This window comes from Homo sapiens, chromosome 1, assembly GCF_000001405.40.
Source record: "Homo sapiens chromosome 1, GRCh38.p14 Primary Assembly".
NCBI lineage: Eukaryota > Metazoa > Chordata > Mammalia > Primates > Hominidae > Homo > Homo sapiens.
The window spans coordinates 115,753,488-115,774,110 of NC_000001.11; the positions used below are offsets into that span (position 1 = coordinate 115,753,488).

At 43.6% G+C, this 20,623-nt stretch overlaps 1 protein-coding gene across 1 annotated transcript in view, besides 1 other annotated feature; it reads right to left on the bottom strand.

Annotated features, from left to right (window-relative positions):
- CASQ2 (calsequestrin 2) overlaps nt 1-15,227 on the bottom strand; it is a 68,694-nt gene extending 53,467 nt beyond the window's left edge. Inside the window, exon 1 of the mRNA NM_001232.4 lies at nt 14,821-15,227. Within this exon, the coding sequence (NP_001223.2) occupies nt 14,821-15,054 (234 nt within the window). The 5' untranslated portion in view covers nt 15,055-15,227. The remainder of the gene's footprint in view (nt 1-14,820) is intronic.
- Nucleotides 18,280-18,539: an enhancer, noted in NCBI's record as "active region_1555". NCBI's record gives its function as "activates an Ori minimal core promoter by ATAC-STARR-seq in GM12878 lymphoblastoid cells {active_cell/tissue: GM12878}" and the evidence as "EXISTENCE:reporter gene assay evidence [ECO:0000049][PMID:35858748]".

Here is a 20,623-nt window from a genome sequence, read left to right on the forward strand (position 1 = left end):
GAGCTGAGACAGAAGCCAAGCACTGGGAGTTAAACTGCTGGGTGGGTGGCAAAGACATGTTAGAGCAGGTGTGTCTCGCTTATTCAAGGTGTCACACAGAGGCGAGAGGGGCGCCCTGTGCTGCGTGACTGCCGCTGGGGCTCCCAGGGCAGCACATCCAATACCTCCATAAAGACCCCACCCAATCCAGTCTCTTCATAGGACTTACCAGCTCTAACCCAGGGAAAGACAGGAAGAAAGTTATATTTGTACCATTTCCCAAGAACTGTCTTTGTAGAGGAGAAAGACTAATTTACTACACAGTCAGAGGGAAGGTGGGGAGGTGGAGGGTCATAAAGAAAAAGGAGGTGGTTACTTGTTGAAGGGAGGTGGGTGGGGATTACTTTCTGCAGGGCCAAGAATCTGAAAAAAAAAAAGTTGAGCCTCGGGGAAAATGTCACAGATCTCTGCTCCAAGTGAATGTCCCTCAGGCCAGTCATTAAAAACACCCTGGCTGTAACCCTGCTCTTTTCATGTAAGCCAAGAGCCAAACGGCTGTTTGTACCCACTGTCCCTCATGCCATCTGGCAACATGTCAAGCAATTCAACAACTGTGTGTCCTTCCCTGAAACCAGAGAGCCGACGTTTCTCTCCGGTAATCTCCTGTCACTTTCTGCCGCCCTCAAAGTAGGCCTGAGCTATGTATAGCTGGGCAGTTGGCATGTGATGTGTTCACGAAGGAGGCTGGCTCAATGAAGGGACGGCTATTTTATGGGGTTCAAGCGAGTATCGGGGGCCTCTTTAGGGCTGGAATAGGTGGCCTCTGAAAGAGCCTTCGGGGAGAGAGAGGCTGTTGATTGTTTTTATTGGCATTTTGGACTATCACGTTGGTCAATGCCAAGGAAAAGACCCAAGGGAAGATGCTATGTATTTTTTCCACCCCACAATTCTGAGAGGCTATATAACAACAACAATTTTTAAAAAAGCACTTACTGGGTGTTTACTATATGCCAGCTATTGCTCCAACTGCCTTACAAGAATTATCTTATTGAATCTCTACAAAACCCTCATGAGGTAGAGGCTTGCAGATGAGGAAATAGAGGCACAGAGTGGTTAACCAACTTGCCTGGGGACACACAGAGCTTAAGTGACCCAGCTAGGATCTCAACCCTGACACTCTGGCTCCAGAGCCCGAACTTTCATCTGTTACCTTTTGTTCCTATACCTGGGCCTCTGAGGGACCTGGGCCCAAATCCTGGCTTTGCAACTTATCAGCTGTGAGACTCTGGGCAAGTCACAACTTAACTGATCTTCAATTTCCTTAGAGATCCAATCTCACAGGAGTATCATGTATACAAGTACGTAGTGAAAGTTCCCTACCAATTAACTACAGGGCAAACCCCACTACACTAAGTCAGTGGTTTTAGAACCTGGGTGCACATCAGCATTCCCTGGAGGGGCAGCCAGTAAAAAGAGATTGCTGGGCCCACCCCAGAGTTTCTGATTCAGCAGGTCTGGGATGGGACCCAAGAATTTGCATTTCTGCCAGGGTCCCAGGTGCTGCTGAGGCTGCCAGTCTCGGGCCCACACATTGAGAGCTGTGGCTCTTCCAGTCTCTAACACAAAATCACAATCTTTTATTGCGTAGCATTTTGCCATGTCCAAACTGACAGAATGAGGGAAGCTGTCCCTGAAGGCCAGGTTTGTTTTGTTTTATCTAAAAATATTATTGCAATGGAATTTTTAAAGAGTGAATTTGACTGACATGGGGCAAGGCCATGCCCTTTACCAATTTTTCTCAACAGAATTCTGTGCCCCAGAGCCTGTGAAAATGCAGTCTGGAAGCCCAGGCCCTGACCTCCTCTGGTAGTCCCTCCCTCAAACTCTCCTTGGGAAAAAGTTTCACATGATACTCAGTGCTTTCTGGAGCCAGAGAGATCATCCCTTTTTAAACTAACCTTCAGTGGAGGTTGGTACACCTCATTTTAAAAAGGGGGTGAGGTGCTTCCTCTCATGGAGAGGCCTCATGAATGTAAAATAATGACTGAACGAAGAGATCCTTGACTTATTGCTTCCACAGTGCAATAAGCAGAAAAGGAACCTGTTCCTGCTTGGCTGAACTTTCTGAAATGTCTGACTAGTGTTTATTTTGATAGCATCTGCTAATGACAGCAAATGCCATGGATAACTAACTTGAGTGGAGAGTGGGAGTTTTCAATGTGCTTTCACATACACAATGATTTCAGGAGCAGCCCTTCACTCAGCACCAAGCGTGTGCCCATCACTTCACACATGTTACCTGTTTTGTCTTCTTAAAACCTCTATGAGGAGCGTACTGTGGCTTAGATTTTATAAAGGAAGCACTCAGCCTTGAGGAGCTAAGTGACCCGCCTGCAGTCACACAGCTAGTGCAAGGACTCAATCCCAGCTGGCTCTAACTCCAAAGCCTGTGCATCTCACACAGCTAGGTGCTACTGCCAATAGTCGTTTATGTGTTGCATTGTTGCATTCACTTCTTCTGTGTCTGGAGGATGCTTCACTCCCTTCATAAATCAGAGGTGTGTGGTCGGGCTAACAGTTAGATATCCGAGGCCAGAGTAATTGTGTGTGTTGTATAGGTAGAAGCAGGTGAGCATGTGAGGGAGTACCTGTTGGCTCTCCTGGACACCCAGCTCATGGCAGATGGTGAGGAGAGGCCTGTCTGGCTTGGGGCACCTGGGCAGCAGGTGGGAGCTCCTGGAACTGGCACTCCGGGCACACAGAAGCAGCTCTGGCTTGCCTAGCCCATCACATTGCAAGATGCCTTACTGGCCCCTTTCCTGCATGGCTGTCCAAACAGAAACAGCTTATCTGGATAATTCTGGCCTACCACATCCAGTTTATAAAAAGGGAAGCCTTAGAGGCTTCTTTGAACAGGCTCAGTTCTTCAGGGGGCTGACTTTCTAGGAGGAACAAGTCATTTTGAATGAGCACTAAAGCTAAGCTGACAATTATGCAAAAATACTCTGCACCAACCTGTAAAGCTCAAACTGCCGCAGAGTAGGGCTGCTGAGTAAAGAAAAATCTTGTGATTTGGAATCAGATTTTATTTCTTACTTTTAATTTTACTGCCTTATATCATAATAGCCCTTATAATATTTCTGCAGTGGTGACTTTCATGGTATCTCACGTCCCCGTTTTAAAATTTATAACTTTGGGGGCTGGGCATGGTGGCGTGTGCCTGTAATCCCAGCACTTTGGGAGGCTGAGGCAGGCGGATCACCTGAGGTCAGGAGTTCAAGACCAGCCCAGCCAACATGACGAAACCCCGTATCTACTAAAAATACAAAAATTAGCTGGGCAGGGTGGCACACGCCTGTAGTCTCAGCTACTCAGGAGGCTGAGGCAGAAGAATCGCTTGAACCCGGGAGGCAGAGGTTGCAGTGAGCCAAGATTGTGCCACCGCACTCCAGCCGGGGAGCCTGGGTGACAGAGCGAGACTCTGTCTCTAAATAAATAAATAAAAAAAAACTTATACCTTTGGGAGGAGGTCTACCTCAGGAATGTTATGAATAGGTGTCCTATTTGGGCTTGCGCAATACCGGGGGCTTTGGAGATAGGAGTAGTGAGAAAAGGTTCCAATGGTCTAAAAACTTCTGAATCAACCATGTATTTTCCAGTTCGTGAAACCTTTATTTCCTTATAATTCCATAGGTGAAAGGAAAAATTTAACTGTAATCAACTCAATCCATGCTTTTACAACTAGCATTTCTGTTCTTTTACCGTCTCACTCCAAGGATCCCCTGTATTACCGATATGTGCCCAGCAACCCTCCACACAGAATTCAACAGCACTTGGGATTCACAGAGAACTGCGATTTAAAAGTGAGCACCTCCTGAGAAAGTATGGGCTCTATGAGAGGCTTTGTTCTCCAAGCCAAACCAAAATAAGTCTGACCTCATCTAATTTTTCAGAGTGGAGCAGGTGTGAATTTGGAGATTGCCATTTTTGGTCAGTGAACAGTTGGAAAAAAAATACCTGAATCCTGTGTGTGTTGCTATTCCCTCCCCAGCGTTTCCACGCAGCTCCATCTGCAGATTCACTCAACTCCAGCAACTTCATTTTGCCTTCCTCTCTTGGGGTTTGGAAATGCAACCACCACTGGGATATTTGCCAGTGCTAAATAGGTTTAGAACAAGGGTCAGCCTTATAAAGCTTGGAGGCTTCTGCCCACGTGCATATATATTTTGGGCTAAGAATCCCATGGCTTAAAAAAAATCAATTTTACCCATATTTTGGTGGGATTAAGCAAGGGTAACGAACAGGTTCCTGAATCTGGCAGATTCAACCTCTTTACAATTGTACTCAATACTTTAAAAAATTTAACTCAATTTTAAAAAGAGATCAAGGAGAAGTATATTTTCAGTATAAGCAATTTATTTCTAATTCTTGACCTTTCCCTTCTTCCCCTCTCCATCCAACCATCCAGCAAACATTTATTAAATTCCAAGTGCCAAGCAACAGCCCATTGGCTCGCATTAGTCATTTAGGTTCAACACATAGTCTAGTTGCACAATTTAATGCAGCTCAAGTGTGAGTGAAAATCCAGAGTACAAACTAAAGACATCTGTCCCTTCATAAGTTGGCACTGCTTACAAACATGAAGCAATCCCTTTCAGCTGCTCCTTGGCATACTGGAAGGGACATGTCATTTGAAACAAATAGGTTTGGGTTCAAACTCTGCTTCACAATCTAATGTTTTATAGCTTTGTGAGTTTAGGCAATTTTTACTTAACTCTCTGGCTAATTTCTCTGTCTGTAATATTGTAAGAATTAAATAAAATAACATATGTAAAGCCCCATATTGGCATGGTTTATGGTAAGTTCATAATATGTGCTTCTCCCTTCTCCTCCTTCCTCTTCTCTTCATTCAACATTCATTTGACAAATGCTGTTGAATACCTACTGAGTCAGGCACTGGTTTAGGTGCTGGGGTATAGCAATGAGTAGAACAAAGTCCCTGCCTTTGTGAATGTCACATTCTATAGCAGGTGCTGTAGTTTGGACGTTTTTCCCTCCAAATCTTACATTAAAATTTGATCCCCAATGTTGGAGGTGGGGCCTAATGGGAGGTCTTGGGGTCATGGAGGTGAATCCCTTATGAATAGATTAATGTCCTCCGTGGGTGGGGCAGTGACTGAGTGAGTTCTCACTCTATTAGTTCCTGCTAGAGTTCCTCTGAGAGTTGGTTGTTAAAAAGAGCCTTGCACCTTTTCTCTCTCTCTCGCTTCCTCTGGTGCTGTGTGATCTCTGCACACATCAGCTCCTTTTCACCTTCTGCCATGAGTGGAAGCAGCCTGTGGCCCTAGCCAGATACAGATACCCAATCTTCAACTTTTTCAGACATCAGAATTGTGAGCCAAATAAACCTTTTATTCTTTATAAATTACCTAGTCTTAGGTATTCTTTTATAGCAACACAAATGTACTGCAAGAAGGGGTGTCAGACAATATGCAATATGTCAGCCAAGTACTATGTAGAAAAAGCATAGAGGAGGGTAGAGAAGGTAAAATGAGTGCATGGAAAGTGTGATTTACATAGGTTGTCAGGGAGATAACTTCTTTGATAAAGTGACATTTAAGCATAGACCTAAAGGAAGTGAGTTCTTATCATCAATAAAAGAGGGACATTTCCCTAGACACTGGGGCCATTCCATCTGCATCTTTGTAAGTGCTATGATTTGGGTGTGGTTTGTCCCCATCAAAACTCATGTTGAAATTTTATTCCCAATATGGTAGTGTTCAGCAGTAGGGTCTAGTCAGAGGTGTTTGGGTTATGTGGGTGGGCCCCTTATAAACAGATGAATAGATGAATGCCCTCATTCAAGGGTAAGTGAGTTTTAATGAGAACAAATTAGTTTCTGAGGGAACAGGTTGTTTAAAAGGGTCTGACTTCCTTGGCTTCTCTGTCTTTCTTTCTCTCTCATCACATGATTTCCTTGCCCACTCCTCTATTGCTTTCTGCTTTCTGCCATGAGTTGAAGCAGCACGAGGCCTTCACCAGATGCAGCTGCCAATTTTGAACTTTCCAGCCACTAGAATCATGAGCCAAGTAAACCTCTTTTTATAGATGACCCAGCCTCAGGTATTCTGTTATAGCAACACTAAGCAGACTTAGACAGTAAGTAAGTAAGATGAATATTTCATGAATAAATGAAAGAATTAATATTTCTATTCAGGTGTTCACTAGACTTAGTTTTATATTACAAAATACTCACCAGTTTTCTCTGAGAAGCTTTCCCATGGTTTCCATTAAACATCATAACATCTTAATATCCCACTTCCATCTACCTTCAGGGTTCTTAGATTTGCCATCTCTTTTGGGGAAAGGGCTAATGTGCCACAGCAACCAAATAGACGCATGTCTTCTCTTTCTGAAGGTCAACTCTGAACCCTGACCTGAGGATAGTTAGAAGGCCACCTTCTGAGTTGGTCTTTAAAAGCCAGGCAATTCAACTAGAAAGATCTCAAATAGGGTAATACTTCTCAAGTCCCAGATCATTTCCTTCTAAGGAGGTCCAAAGGATTAGTCACTGATTGTGTGAGTGATGGGTCAGTGGGAGAACCCCGGGAGGCCTGGCTGAGTCCCAAATCAGATATGAATCCCTGCACCCCTAGAACAAACTTAACATCCCAGCGACTCTCCAAATTAGAGCTATACTGACAGTTCCAACACCATTCTGAAGAATGAATGATCCAAAGGTCAAACAGGTAACAACATGATTCTGGTCATCTGGAAAACTTTCCCAACCCAATAGACTGTCACAGTGCTTTGCAAACTTTAATGTGCCTACAAACGACACAGGGATCTCATTTAAATGCTAAGTTTGATTCTGAGATATGGCCTGAGATTCTTTGTTTTTAACAGGGTCCAAGTGATGCCATTTGCTACTGGTCTGGGGTCCGCCTTTTTATTCAGATGAGGTCTCACTATGTTGCTCAAGCTGGAGTGCAGTATCTACTCACAGGTGCAATCATAACACACTGCAGCCTCAAACTCCTGGCCTAAAGCAATCCTCTAGTCTCAGCCTCCCAAGTAGCTGAGCTGCTCTCAGCCTTGGGGTCCACATTTTAAGCGTCAGGTTTCAAGTGGCCTTCAAACTTGGCTGCATCTTAACAGCACTCAGAAAGCTTTTAAAAACTGTAGCATCTGGACATCAGCCTTTACCCAGTGACCAATTAAACCAGCACCTGTGGGGATAAGACCCAGGAATCGGTATTTTTTAAAACTCCTTATGTGGTTCTAATATGTGGCCAAAGTTGAGAACTACTACAATCGACTAAGAACACGTGTAAAAGTTCAAGTGACTAGTGAAGAAAATTCACATTGATAAGCACCCACTATACTTCAAGCACTCAATTAGTCATTCTATTAATACATAGATGAATTTCTTCAGTAGTAACTGATGTAACAAAAATAATAAAACCTGACTCTTTTATACCTTCTTATAATTTTATAAGAAATTCTTATTCACCTGTTTTCATTTAATTCTCCTAATTCATGGAGGTAGGAGCTAATGGTTGATTTTATAGATGATTTTACACATAGATTTTGTAGGTCAGTGTAAAGAGGTGAATCTGTGTGACTTACTCAGGATAGTGGGTAAATAGAAGAGAAGTTCAGGTGCTCGGCTCTCAGTTTTCCCAAGCACTGCTACCTCATCTGAGGTTGGACATAGAAAAATGGTGGTATACCAGCCTGGCCAACATGGTGAAACCCTGTCTCTACTAAAAATACAAAAATTAGCCAGGCATGATGGTGGGCACCTGTAATCCCAACAACTCAGGAGGCTGAGGCAGAAGAATTGCTTGAACCCGGAAGGAGGAGGTTGCAGTGAGCTGAGATTGCCCCACTGCACTCCAGCCTGGGCAACAGAATAAGACTCAGTCAAAAAAAAAAGAAGAAGAAGAAGAAGAAGAAGAAGAAGAAGAAGAAAGAAGAAGAAGAAGAAGAAGAAGGAGAAGAAGAAGAAGAAGAAGAAGGAGAAGAAGGAGAAGAAGAAGAAGAAGAAGAAGAAGAAGAAGAGTTCATAAAGTGCACATGAGTCTTGTCAATGATGATGCTGGGCACATTGCAAAGCCTGAAGAGGCTACAGTCACTCTCCGCTAAAGTTTACTTTTTATTGATATACAGATAGTTTAGGAGACCGAGGCCCGAAGGAAGAAGGAAGCTCAGTCTGTTAGGGGCTCTGGCAGACTGAAAGCAGAAGCATCAAGAGATCCACTAAACAGCTGCAAAACTCAGAGGCCTACATTACCCAGGATTATGATTCTTGATCCTGTCATAGATGATGAAACCAGCATCCCTCTCCGCTACAGGGCTTAATAGATAATCTGCATGAGTCATCCTCTAAATATTATTGGAAAGTAACCTATGTTTCAGCACAGGAAAATTGGTTTGCATTTTTAGGTAGTGGTCCTGCCATTTAATACCGAAGAAAGCTTACGAGAGATCCCCTGGACAGGCACTGTGTGGATGGTAGCAGAGCATCCCAACAGCCTCTATTGGTGAGCTAAAATGAGACCTTCTTAAGCAGGAAAAGCAGAAGAACTACACCAAGTGTACACCGGGCAGCAGCCTTAGACTTTGAACTCTAGTTGCAGCCTGTTGAAAAACTACAGGACTGGCAGGTAGACCTGGTTCAACTTCCAAGAAGATATGGCCATTTTTGTGCCAAGACTCCAGATACCCTGACTGAGCAAGGGACCTATTTCACCCTAAATGAATGAACCAAGCTTTACTGTTCAGAATCTGGAAAGTATTGCTTGTTCCTTATCCATACATTCAATGATACATTCATTTACTCATGCAAAGATTATTGAGTGTCTGTTAATAGCAATGAAAATTTAATAAATGAATGAATATTTCTATTCAGGGATTTACAATACTTGTTTTCATGTTCTGAAACACTCTCTAGCTGCCTGAAAAAATCCCCCATAGCTTTCCTTAATCCAATAAATGCATGTTGGTTACAGGTTAGTCTATTTAGTTGCTATTCCCCACTCTCCACCCTGCCACCCAAAACACATATACATGGCTAACAGCATCAATTTTAACTACAAAACATGTGAATATAAAATGAAAAGTGCCCAGAGGTCCTAAAACTGAGCTCTGAGGTCCTTGCATGTCTCCTTCCTCTTTTCCTTCTATAGACGATTTAAGTGGCCATAAAATTGTTTCTATGTAAGTGTGAAGCTCACCCGGAAAAAGCTTTTGTCCTTTTCTTGCCTTCTTTTTCAGGCTGGAATGCTGGACTCCTAGCAGTGAAGTGGTGTAGAGGAAAAGATAAAGGTCTTGGAGTTAGGGACAGGATCTGTGTCAAGGTAGAAGGGGAAGAGGAAGGAGTCGATGATTCCTCATCCCAGGCTGGGTGCTAGGCAGAAAGGTAATGCCATGTATAGAGGGCTCAGGAACTCACAATGTGGAGGCCATGTTGCTCATGCCTGGCCAGCTGGGGCTCCACCTGTCATGTTGTCATGTGACCAGTGCATTTATTTAGTTGTGTTTTTGAGTCGCAAGCAGTTTCTTGATCCTTGCCCAATGTGAACTTGGCTCAGTTTGCTTTTGTTTTGTTTTGCTTTGCTTTTTGCTTCCCCTATTACGAAGTTTGATTTTAATTCAGGTTGTTTTCATGAGGCTTCTAATCTAGAGGGAAAAATCCAACCCATGTCTCCATGGGGGGAAAGAGTAAGGTAGAAAGGATTAGAAGGAAACTGGAAGCACCTCTCAAAGTAGGTGAGACTGAACCATGACTGAAAATGGGGCAAGGCCTAATTTAATAAATGGCATGGATGAGGTGATTGGACATAGCCGACACAGGCTCAGCAAAGCCTTGAGAGCAGAGGGAATGCCAAACAGGAGTACATCGAGAGCGACCTGTGACCGCTGGCAACTCACTCCTCCTCTCTAGCCCCAGAGAGGAGGAGTGAATAAGCAATAAGAGGAGGAGCAAATCAAACTGGCTGTGAATAAGCAAGATGGCTGCATTTCCAGTACCCAGCTCCCAAGGCCTGATTTCCTCAGTTTATCAACTGATGGGGTTAGCTGTATTGTGTTTAGAATCCTGATGAAATAGTGAGTGTGGGCTAAAAGAAGCTAGCATTTGTTAAGTATCTTCTGTGTGCCAGAGCTATGCTCTTGCTGGGCAGCCTCATTCAATCCTCACAACAGCACTGTCATCTCCATCTTGCAAACAAGGAAACCAGGTCTATCTGATCTGGAAGCCCGTGTTAGAGCATGCCATCTCTCAAGCACTTCAACCTGAGGGAAATGGTGACATTTCTCAACTCAGGTTGAGAAATGAAGGACTTTCTCTGGCAATATTTATAGGACATGATAGGAGCAGTGGCTTGCACAGCAGTTTCAAGGAAAAAGAGGAAGCAGGAAACAAAGCAGCAAGGAGAAACTGAATTACCTGCCCATGTCCTCTGTCTCTGAGTCCTGTAATGCTAATGGAAGTTGGCCACTGTGGTGTGACTAAATTTACTATCTTGGTGGAAGCTGTAAGAGACAGCATGCAAAATTGCAACTCCCTTTATAATTTGTGTTGACACCCCAATAGAAAAATGAGAAAAGGCATAGAAAAATAATTTATGAAAGAAAAAATACATAAATGGCAAAAGAATTTTATAGAAAACTTTAGCCAGAAATCAAAGAAATGTTCATTAAAACAACAATGAAAAGCGAAGATTTTTAAAACTCTAAAAATTGTGTCAAGATCCAAATATAGGGTAATTATTTTAAAAATATGTATGATGATACAGTGGAATACTATGCTGGTATTAACATTACTGTTTAATAATATAGAAATACAATATATGGATGTGAAAAAAAGCTGGAAACAAAACTGTATAAATGGTATAATTCCCAATTGAAAAATGTATATTTATGTATAGAAAAAAATACTGGAAAGAAATCTACCAGAACATTATCCATGTTTATTTTGGTGTGATTACTTTTATTGCCTTTTAGTTCTTTTCCACATACTCTGAAATTTCTAAATCATATATGCTGCTTTGTTGATGAAGAATACCCAAGGAATCAGAACTGCCAGCTGTTTAAGTCAGGGTTACAGCTATGAAATGAGGGGTTCAGAGCAACCTAGATGACTCCCACAGTTCTTTTGAGCTCTAACATTTCATTCATTCATTCAACAATCATGTGTAGAACATCTGCATAGAACTATGGATTATACAATGACCCTTGGGCCCTCCAGAGCTGGACTCTGGCCAGATTGGAAAGCAAAGTTTGAGTTTGCTGCCTCCTGGTGTCATATTACTTGCCTTTTTCTTGCTAAGCTGTATAGACCTTATCTTCTCCACCTTCTCCTCTTCCCCTTGTCAAGCCCTGTTCTCACGACAGAATTCAGACTCAGGGGATGTAAGTAATTGGCAACATCTCAAAGATCTACCTCTCCCAGAGGACCTTGACTAAGTAGGGACAAAAATCTTACCCTAAAGAAATGAGGCCCTCTTGGCCAAATTTTAGGAAAAAGCTAGCAGGTGGAAAAATACTTGAGAGCCATCAGAATATTTGCTGTTTTGCCAGTAAATTCCTACTCATTTCACAAACCAACTCTGGCCCTTCCTCTTTCCTCTACTCTCCCTGATAAACTTCTAAGTTGCTGTGTTGTTACAGCAACCTCCCTGCACTGTAGCTCTTAGTTTGCATGTTTTCTTCCATGTTCAGCTGTGAGCCACTTGAGGGTCTCATTTTCCCCGTATCCACAGCATCTATCCCAGGGCCCCAACAAAAATTAGGTGGCAGATGCATGACTAATTGAATGGTATTTCAAGTGCCCCTCATCAGGCAGTGACCTCCTCACTCTGTGGATGGAGCTGTTTCTGGCTTTTTTCATTGACATCCCTTAGAGATGCAGACAAAATATACATGACTGGCCACAGTGCCCTTGGAGTTTCTTAGAATGAATGGGGTGGCCCTAGTGTGAGGAGCTATGAGTTTCTAATTCCTAGAAATTCCTCAGGTGTTTCAGCCTGGGGATGGCAACTCCTCACTGGAGAGGGAAATCAACTTAATAGGTTGAGATCAATTTTTAAAATGAAATAGAAGAGAACAGGATAAAAATAGAAAAAAAAATTTAATTCCCCAAGTAATAATAATAAGTATAGTTCATATGAAATTTTTGTTTCTGGTGTGTGTGTGTGTCTGTGTGTGTCTGTATATACTGGGTCATAGTCGGTTATGATAAAAAGTGTCAGAAGCCGCCTTAAGCTGCGAGGGGGAAGGGAGCTGCCTCCCCTCCAGCTATTTGTCCGTGGCTGAGACCACACTGCCTGTTGGATGGACACTGGGAACTGCCTCCTCTTTTCCCCCTACCCCCTAACAGCCACAGCCCTGGAAGCTGACAGACTATTTTTCTTAGTGCAAGTGTGGGGTCTAGAGGATTAAGAGGACAAAATAGATGTTTTGACCATGAAGAAAGTTTAAAGGCATGTTCGCTCTTTCCACTCATGGACTTCCCGGAGCCATTTTTTCCCTTGATGCTGCGCCTGACAAGTATCTCAACAAAGGCCCGCCCCTTCCTCAACCTTCACTAATGGAGCCCAGGCCTCCTCCTCAGTTTGCACTTTTGCATGAGCAGCGCCTCCAGGCCATGTACTTCTCGGCCATGCTGGTGTACAGCTGGCATCATCAGACCCGGGTCCAGAGGCTGAGCAACTCTGTTTAAGGAAGACTCTTGAAACCATCTTAAACAGGCTACCCAGAAGCCCCTTGGGCGTTTTCGCACTGATTTCAGGAGTAGTACCGTGTAGGTGTTACGTACAACTGCCTTCATCTGTAGTAGCTGTGTGACCTTGGACAACTTAGCCTCTCTGCTTCAGTTTCCACATCTATAAAATGGAATTGGTAACTGTACCTACTTAATAGAATTATTGTAAGGATTAAACAAGCTAACACATACCAAGTGCTTAGAACAGTCCCTGCACTTAGTAAGCATTTAATCAACATTATTATTATTTAATCATTTCTTAAGCTGCATGATAGTTACTATTTTTCCATATTTATAGATAAGAAAATGAAGCTCTGAGAAATTACGTAATTTGCCCTGTGTCCTGTGCCTAGTAGAGACAAAGCCAGAACTTAAATCCAGATATCCTGACTTCAAGGTCTGTGTTCTTTTTCTCCTAATGATGCCTCACTCCAGCTTTAGCAGCCTGAGGGGCATCAAATTAACTCCTGTGGTGAACTTTTCCTTATCGGTCTCTGCTGGGCCGGCACCCACTGTGAAAAGGGCACTCTTGGATCAAAGGTGTCTGGAGGGATGGTAAGCCCAGGGGAAGTTTCTGTTCATGATTTTGCATAGTCTTTGGGGACAGATATACTTGGGGGAGCTAGAGATGATAGATAGATAGATAGATAGATAGATAGATAGATAGATAGATAGATAGATAGAAGGATGATAGAAAGATATTTCTTTTTTAAAAAAAATTAGAATCAGAAATGAATGTCCTTGCCTGTACTGGCCACCCAAAGGCATTCTTTTGGAGTTCTAGGCTAACTGGACAGCGATGAGCATATAGGGGAGAATCCTTATGCCTTCAATTAAGTTTTCATAACAATGTCTCTTGATAACTGAGTATGGCAGTTTGAGATGGAGATATAATGTAAGTGTTGGTTTCATGTGCTAAGCAGCAGCTAAGTTCTATGTCTCGTTCTTTTCCAGCCTGTGATTTGCTCATTTCTATAAAATAAAGTCTTAATAACTATCCCTGCTTTCTCTTTTCTTGCAACCCACAGAGAGAACTGAAATTCCACATTCAGCACCCAAGGTTGGAGATATACTTTTGATGTATTTGGGATAGTTTTGCTGGATTTTATTACAGTCAATTTTTCAATTTGAAAAAATTCAAATCCACATGGGTTTTATATGATAATCCTATTAAACTATTTCATCAACCTGAGTTCTCTGATTGTGCTGGTTAATAAACTGTAATTCTCAAATATCCCTTTCACAGGTTTGCGCCTGGGCTAGGCGTGGAGACTGATGAGGCATCTTGGTGCCCACTAGCATTCTTGGCACCCTCAGGCCCTCTTAAAGTGTAAGCCATCTTAAGCTGTCCAGGAGGAGCTGCAGGAATAGTTTCTGGGGCACTCGCAAAGGATTAGAAAATGGGCCCCAGTGCCAGGTTACAAACAGGCAGGCCATGTAATGCGGATAAAATAAGAACTGACTTCAGCTCTGCCCTAAAGTCACACCAAGAACTTTCTGAGAAAAAAAATCACATAAATGAATATGCTGCTCAGAAGATCTGCACACAACTACATTCTGTAATGCTGACTGACGCAAAACAAGAGAGAGGAAAGTCATTTAGTGATATTCTCCGTCTGACCCCCAGAGAGACGCAAGGTCAAGTAACTCTGGTCTCTCCAGGATCATGGGGAGATTTGAGGGAGCAAAGTGGGCACACTGAATGAAATCCACAAGTAGTCCCTGGATTTCATTTCAGCCAACAGTTTTAACAATAGTTTCTACATTCTATCTGGGAAACAATGGCTGGGACAAGGGCCCTTGAAAAGTCAAGGGGGCCATAAAGACTTTACATCAGACCCATCGTAGTGTAGCACGTTTGGTCCTCTTCATTTGAAGAGTTAGGACCCACCCCTCATTGTTCACACATCCCAGCTGTGTGACAAGGGCATCTGATTCACGTGAGGCCAAAATAAAGCAGAGTTCAGTATATATTCTCTGCATCCTCGTTCCCATATCCCAACCCCTGGCCAAAGGCATTCCCTCGGCACCTCACTGAGGCAGCGCAGACAGCATGCCCTTTGGTTACTTACCTCAAGCACGATTTCTTTCAGTTGGAACTGTTTTTGCGTGACCTTATCTGAAGACACCGGCTCATGGTAGTAGAGGCAAAGCAAGTCATATTTCTTTAAAACCTGCTTGAAGTTCTTCTCGGAAAGACTTACCACTCGGTCCTTCCCATCATATGTGGGGAAATTAAGCCCCTCTTCTGCCCTGCAAGAGGACAGAAAATAAATCCCCACAATAAACAAGTGAGTTCTCTTCATTTGGGAAAACTTTTGTTTCTCGTTCCCAAATATGCTGTGTGCAGAATAGAGGACAGAAGACTGTTAGAGGCCTTGTTGAGCCAAGGAGAGAGCAGACAGGCTGATTTTCTCTCTTCTTTGCCCTTCCTGGGGCTGAAAAGTGACTCTTCACCTCCTTGGGTCCAGCCAGCTCTGGAATCGTGGGCTCAGGACAAAGAGCAGAGGCACACACACACACACACGCACGCACGCACGCACGCATGAGAGTAGAAAAACAGCCAAGCTAGGGAGGCTGGGAGGCCAAGCCCCAGATACCTTACATAGCTCTGCTCAGCCTCTGTCTCATTAGGAACTCCATTTTTAGGATGCAGTTGTTTCAGGCTAAAAATAAATCATGCAATGAATAAAAAAGTTAGATACGACACTGTAGAGGGATTCGCTGATACAGTCTGTCCGACTGGTGAAGAGGGAAGAGGCAGAAGGAAAAAGACAAGAATGTACACGCATGAAATAAGGAGGCTAGAAAGGTCAAAGAAGAGAAAGAAACTCGAGAGGGAGAGAGATAAGGGACTATGGTGCCAATAAGCAAATGGAGAGTTCAAACATACGGAATGACACTCATACATTACTGAATTGTTAAATCACCCCAGGGTGGTAACTCAGCCTGTCCCCTCACGGTGGTTGTTCATCCTCTGTTCCTCACTGCAACATGGAACAAAATGGAGCCCCGAGGTAGACTTCTTCATGTTCTACTCCTGTCTTTTTCTGCCTTCCCTCCTCTCTTCTTAAAAATCCTCTGCCAGCCACTGGGCGAGGGGTGCAGGGACACCCTGCTGAACCCAGCTGACACCAGAAGAACCTGTCCTCATTAAACTAAAATGAAACAAGGTTCACAGTTCAAATCCCTACTCTGCCTTTTAACAGCTAATGAACTTTGGAGGGTCACTTGCCCTCTCTGATTCTCAGTTCCCCTCTATGTAAAGTGGGGCTGATAATAACCATAAAGTTTCAAACACATAGATGAAAAAGCATGGCACAAAATAGGTGCTCAAAAATAGTAGCTATTATACTTACTTCTCATTGGAGCTGGTGGAACATTGGTTATATAATGGATATTTGTCTGTTTCTAATATGAATGGTTTGTGAACCCTTTCTTGTCCATTTTCTCCTTGAATCCAGTAGGCAATTGGGGCAAAAGGGATCAGGGCTCATCCTACCGCTGAGCTAACAGCAACTTGTCTGAGTTTGCAGCATTTCTAACTGCCGGAGCAAGAATCCAACCCTGCCTCAAAGCTGCTGCTCCTGGCTGTTTTGCCTCTGACTCTGGGTGATTCCCTTGCAGACACCCCTTTTCTTAAGTACCTTCTTGACCATCTCTTCCAGTCCAACCCTAGTCCAGTCATGTCTCTCCACTCTTCAAAGGCATCTAGGGCATTCATGATTCTGACCAAGTTTTTGTTCTCCTTCAGTTATAAATCAGCTTTGGAAAGACAGAGTACTCTGTCATGCACAGCTTCTGCAGGGGCTAGAAGGCAAAGAGAAGATCCGTGGCCTCTCTGAGTAAAGCAAGGCTCCCCTGCAGTCAGACGGCCTTACACTGAGAGTCAGGCTGATAAGGGGTTGTCTTGATGCTACACTCTCATGTGCAGAAAGTTGGGGCCTTGAAGAACCCATCACTAAAACCCTTGACGGTATTCCGTTCTTTCTAATGGTGTAGTCTCTAAGTTTTCAAAAGATGGAGCCAAGAATATCCATTCTAAGGTGCACTTAGCTTTCCAAGTCAGTGGCAAGCATGCAAGATCTCTGCTTTCTTTAGGAAATTTAAGGGGAAAAAGATTTCCGAGTGAAACAATGTGTGTCTTGTCTTTTTGAGGTCAGCCTCCCCAGACTGTTCCCAGTTGTCTCGATCTCACTGGGTTACCTTTATTTAGAATTTGCTCCACTTTTCTTAATATGTAAGTAGGTTTTTTTTAACTGTTACTGAAAAATTGGAAGCTATTTAAAGTCAGAGTCTTTTAATTTCCTTCTGACTTATAATTGACAAAACTATAAGGGAAAAGAAATAATTTTTTAAACTTTAGTTTAGCCTTCAACTCTGGTTTACTACAAAAAGCCCGAGCTGTGGAAAGTTCCTGCCCCTAGATCATGGACTCGATTTGGGCCAGGCAGCCCAGCCCTGAGGACATGCAGCCACTGACATATGCTGTGGTGATCAGGTTTCCCCCAAGCATCCATGGTAGATATGAGGTCTACATTCATGCCCCACTCTCAGCAAAAGGTAGGTTTTCATAGTTTACATTTAACGTACCAGGCTTATTTTCTGTCTGCCTTTCATTTTCCTATTTTTGTTTTTCCTCTGTCTTATTGCTCACCAACTTTAATTTTTTTTTTTTTTTTTTTTTTTTGAGATGGAGTTTCGCTCTTGTCGCCCAGGCTGGAGTGCAATGGCGCGATCTCGGCTCACCACAATCTCCGCCTCCCAGGTTCAAGCCATTCTTCTGCCTCAGCCTCCCGAGTAGCTGGGATTACAGGCACGTGCCATCACGCCTGGCTAATTTTGTATTTTTATTAGATACGAGGTTTCTCCATGTTGGTCAGGCTGGTCTTGAACTCCCAATCTCGGGTGATCCGCCTGCCTTAGCCTCCCAAAGTGCTAGGATTACAGGTGTGAGCCACCAGGTCCAGCCAATTCATTTATTTTTTAAACAAAGAATGCTTCACACATTTCTGAGTCAACCTTACATCCTGCAAATCAGCTGTTTTGTTCCAGCTTTAGCTGCGCCCCAAGCCAATGTGTCATGTACTTCTAGTTTATGTGGTTGTGCTGAAATGTGTGCATTTTTATGTGCCATTAGTAGGTACTTTTTGTTTTGTTTTTAAACAAGAAGGGGTAGAACAAAACACACAAATCAATACAAATAAATGTTTATTGTTGTCACAATATATGCCGTAGGCCCCTTGTTTTGCTAACCATTTCCAGTCCTTCACTGTGAGTGGCCGCCAACTACAGTCCCTTAATCTAACCTAGCTCATTTACTTTGTTTATTCTTGACAGGTGGCAGAATGATTTTTCTCTCAGACCATTTTATCTACAAAGAGAAACGTATGTGCTCACGCCTCCCTTCGAAGGTCTGCAGGTCTCCATTTGGGCGCCTCTGAGGTGCCTCAGAGAAAGAACCGCCCCCAGAAAGGCAGGAGACCTGCGTTCCGCCTGCCTGTGTGATTAGGTCAGGAGCCCTGAGGCTCGGGCCCTAGCACTTCCAATTTGTGAAAGAGGGTTAGAGTCACCAAGCTCCTAAGGCCCCCTTTCTGGCTCTAAGATGTTAAAATCTGTTATAAGATTTTCTTTTACCAGGATAGGCCTCAGCCCAACACACAGTGTGATGAAGTCTGATGAGTGTTAGCTGCGGAGGAGGGTTTTGATGGGCGTGACTCCGGACGAGTCCAAGCTTGCCTCTTCTCCAAGGCAAAGATCGCCTACAATGTCACTGCTGCCAAAGGACCCTTCTTTGGCTAAAATACTCCACCCAGTGGACAAAACAGAAAATGGCCTATTTCTTTGCTCCCGTTCCTGGAAGGAAGCACAGCCTATTGGCCTGGTAGAAAGAGTGCAGAAATGCTCGGGTCTAGAGCCCTGTGCTCCATGAGCCTCCAGCATCCTCTGGCCAGATCTAAACAAGCCTGTTAGCAACCCCAAGGCCCTCCTTTTCTCTCAACTTTAACAGGTGGTCCCTGGAGCCTTCCTGCCTCCTCTGCACCAGGAAACTCCTCAACAGAAACGAGCAGAAAGAGATCAATGCTATCCTGAAAAAGAGCCCCAAAGCTCCACCGATATGATTCCAGGTTTTGACAAATGTCACCTACTCAAGGAGGCCCTCAGTGTAGACCAGGAGCGGACACTCACTCCCCTTACACACTATACTTCTCCTTGGAAACACTCCTCTCACGGGAGATCCTTCTCCCTCTCCCCGCTGAACCTCATTGCTTCAGGGGCAGCATCTGTTCACAGCATCCTCATAGCAAGTAGTAGTTCTCATTAAATGCTTATTAAATAAATCTGTAGCATTACTTTGTGTCCGGGCCCGGTGGCTCACGCCTGGAATCCCAGCACTTTGAGAGGTTGAGGCGGGAGGATCACCTGAGGTCAGGAGTTTGAGACCAGCCTAGCCAACATAGCGAAACCCAATCTCTACTAAAATACAAAAAGACAGGCATAATAGCACCTGCCTGTAATCCCAGCTACTCGGAGGCTAAGGCAGGAGAATCGCTTGAGCCTGGGAGGCTGAGACTGCAGTGTGCCGAGATTGCACCACTGCACTCCAGCCTGGGCAAGAGAGTGAGACTCCATCTCAAAAAAAAAAAAAAAAAGCCAGGTATTTTAACAGCAGCAACAAGAGAAGGAGAGACAGAGAGAGAGAAGGAAGGAAGGAAGGACAGGGGAAGGAAGGAAGGAAAGAAGGAAGGAAAAATTTAATTCAGTAGACAAGAACAGATAAATGGAAAGCTTAGGGCTACTTTGTCCTGGAACTAGGGGGGAAATACAGGGTTCTCAGGGGTAGCAGTAAAAGAACAGAAAAAAAAAACCCTAATATGGAGGTCATATCAAAGGGTCCAAATGGAGGGTATGGTAGGCGGAATAGTGCCTTCCCATTCCCCCACCCCCCATCAGGATGTCCAGTATAATCCTCAGAACCTGTGTGTGTGTGTGTGTGTGTGTGTGTGTGTGTGTGTGTGTGTGTGTGTGTGTTGTCTAATATGACCAAGGAGTCTTTGCAGATGTGATTAAATTACGGATCTTGAGATGGAGAGATTAGCCTGGATTATCCTGGTGGATGCTTGTGAAACAGAGGCAAGAGGGTCAGAGTGAGAGAAGGAGATGGAGGATGGAAGCAGAGGCTGGAATGACACAGGCCAGCAGCCAAAGCATGTAGGCAGCCTCTAAGAGGTAGAAAAGGCCAGGAGAGGATTTTCCCTGAAAGCCTCCAGGAGGAATGCAGCCCCACAACCCATTTTAGACTTTTAACCTCCATAACTATAAGATAATACATTTGTGTTGTTTTAACCGCTAAGTCTGTGATAATTTGTTACAGCAGCAATGGGGAACTAATAGAGGGTGACAGTGAAAACCGACTCCTAAAGTGACAAAAAGCTGCCTATCCTATAGCCTCAGCTGTTTTATCTGCAAAGTAACCTGTACCTTCACCTAGCCCCATTGCCTGTACCAAATAGATGAGAAAACAGCTCGGCACAGTTCAGTTGATAGGGTCATTTACATTTATGGTTCCTTTGATCCTCACTCCATGAGGGAGCTGGGACATATGTCTCTTGAGGCAGGTCACTAACACCTCTGAAGGCCTCTAAAATAATCTAGATCCACATTCTCCTACGTTTTTGACCTTTCTTTTTTATGTTAATATACCATCTCTCAATATCTCTCCTTAGGAGTTTTTTTAAAGTTGCCGTTTTTGTGTAATATATTTAAAAAGAAATGATTTTCAAATATGTCTAGGTTGACATATTATTACAGACTCTTATAAAATTCATTTTAATATCATTCTTAATAATCATTATATACAGAATGAAGATAAAT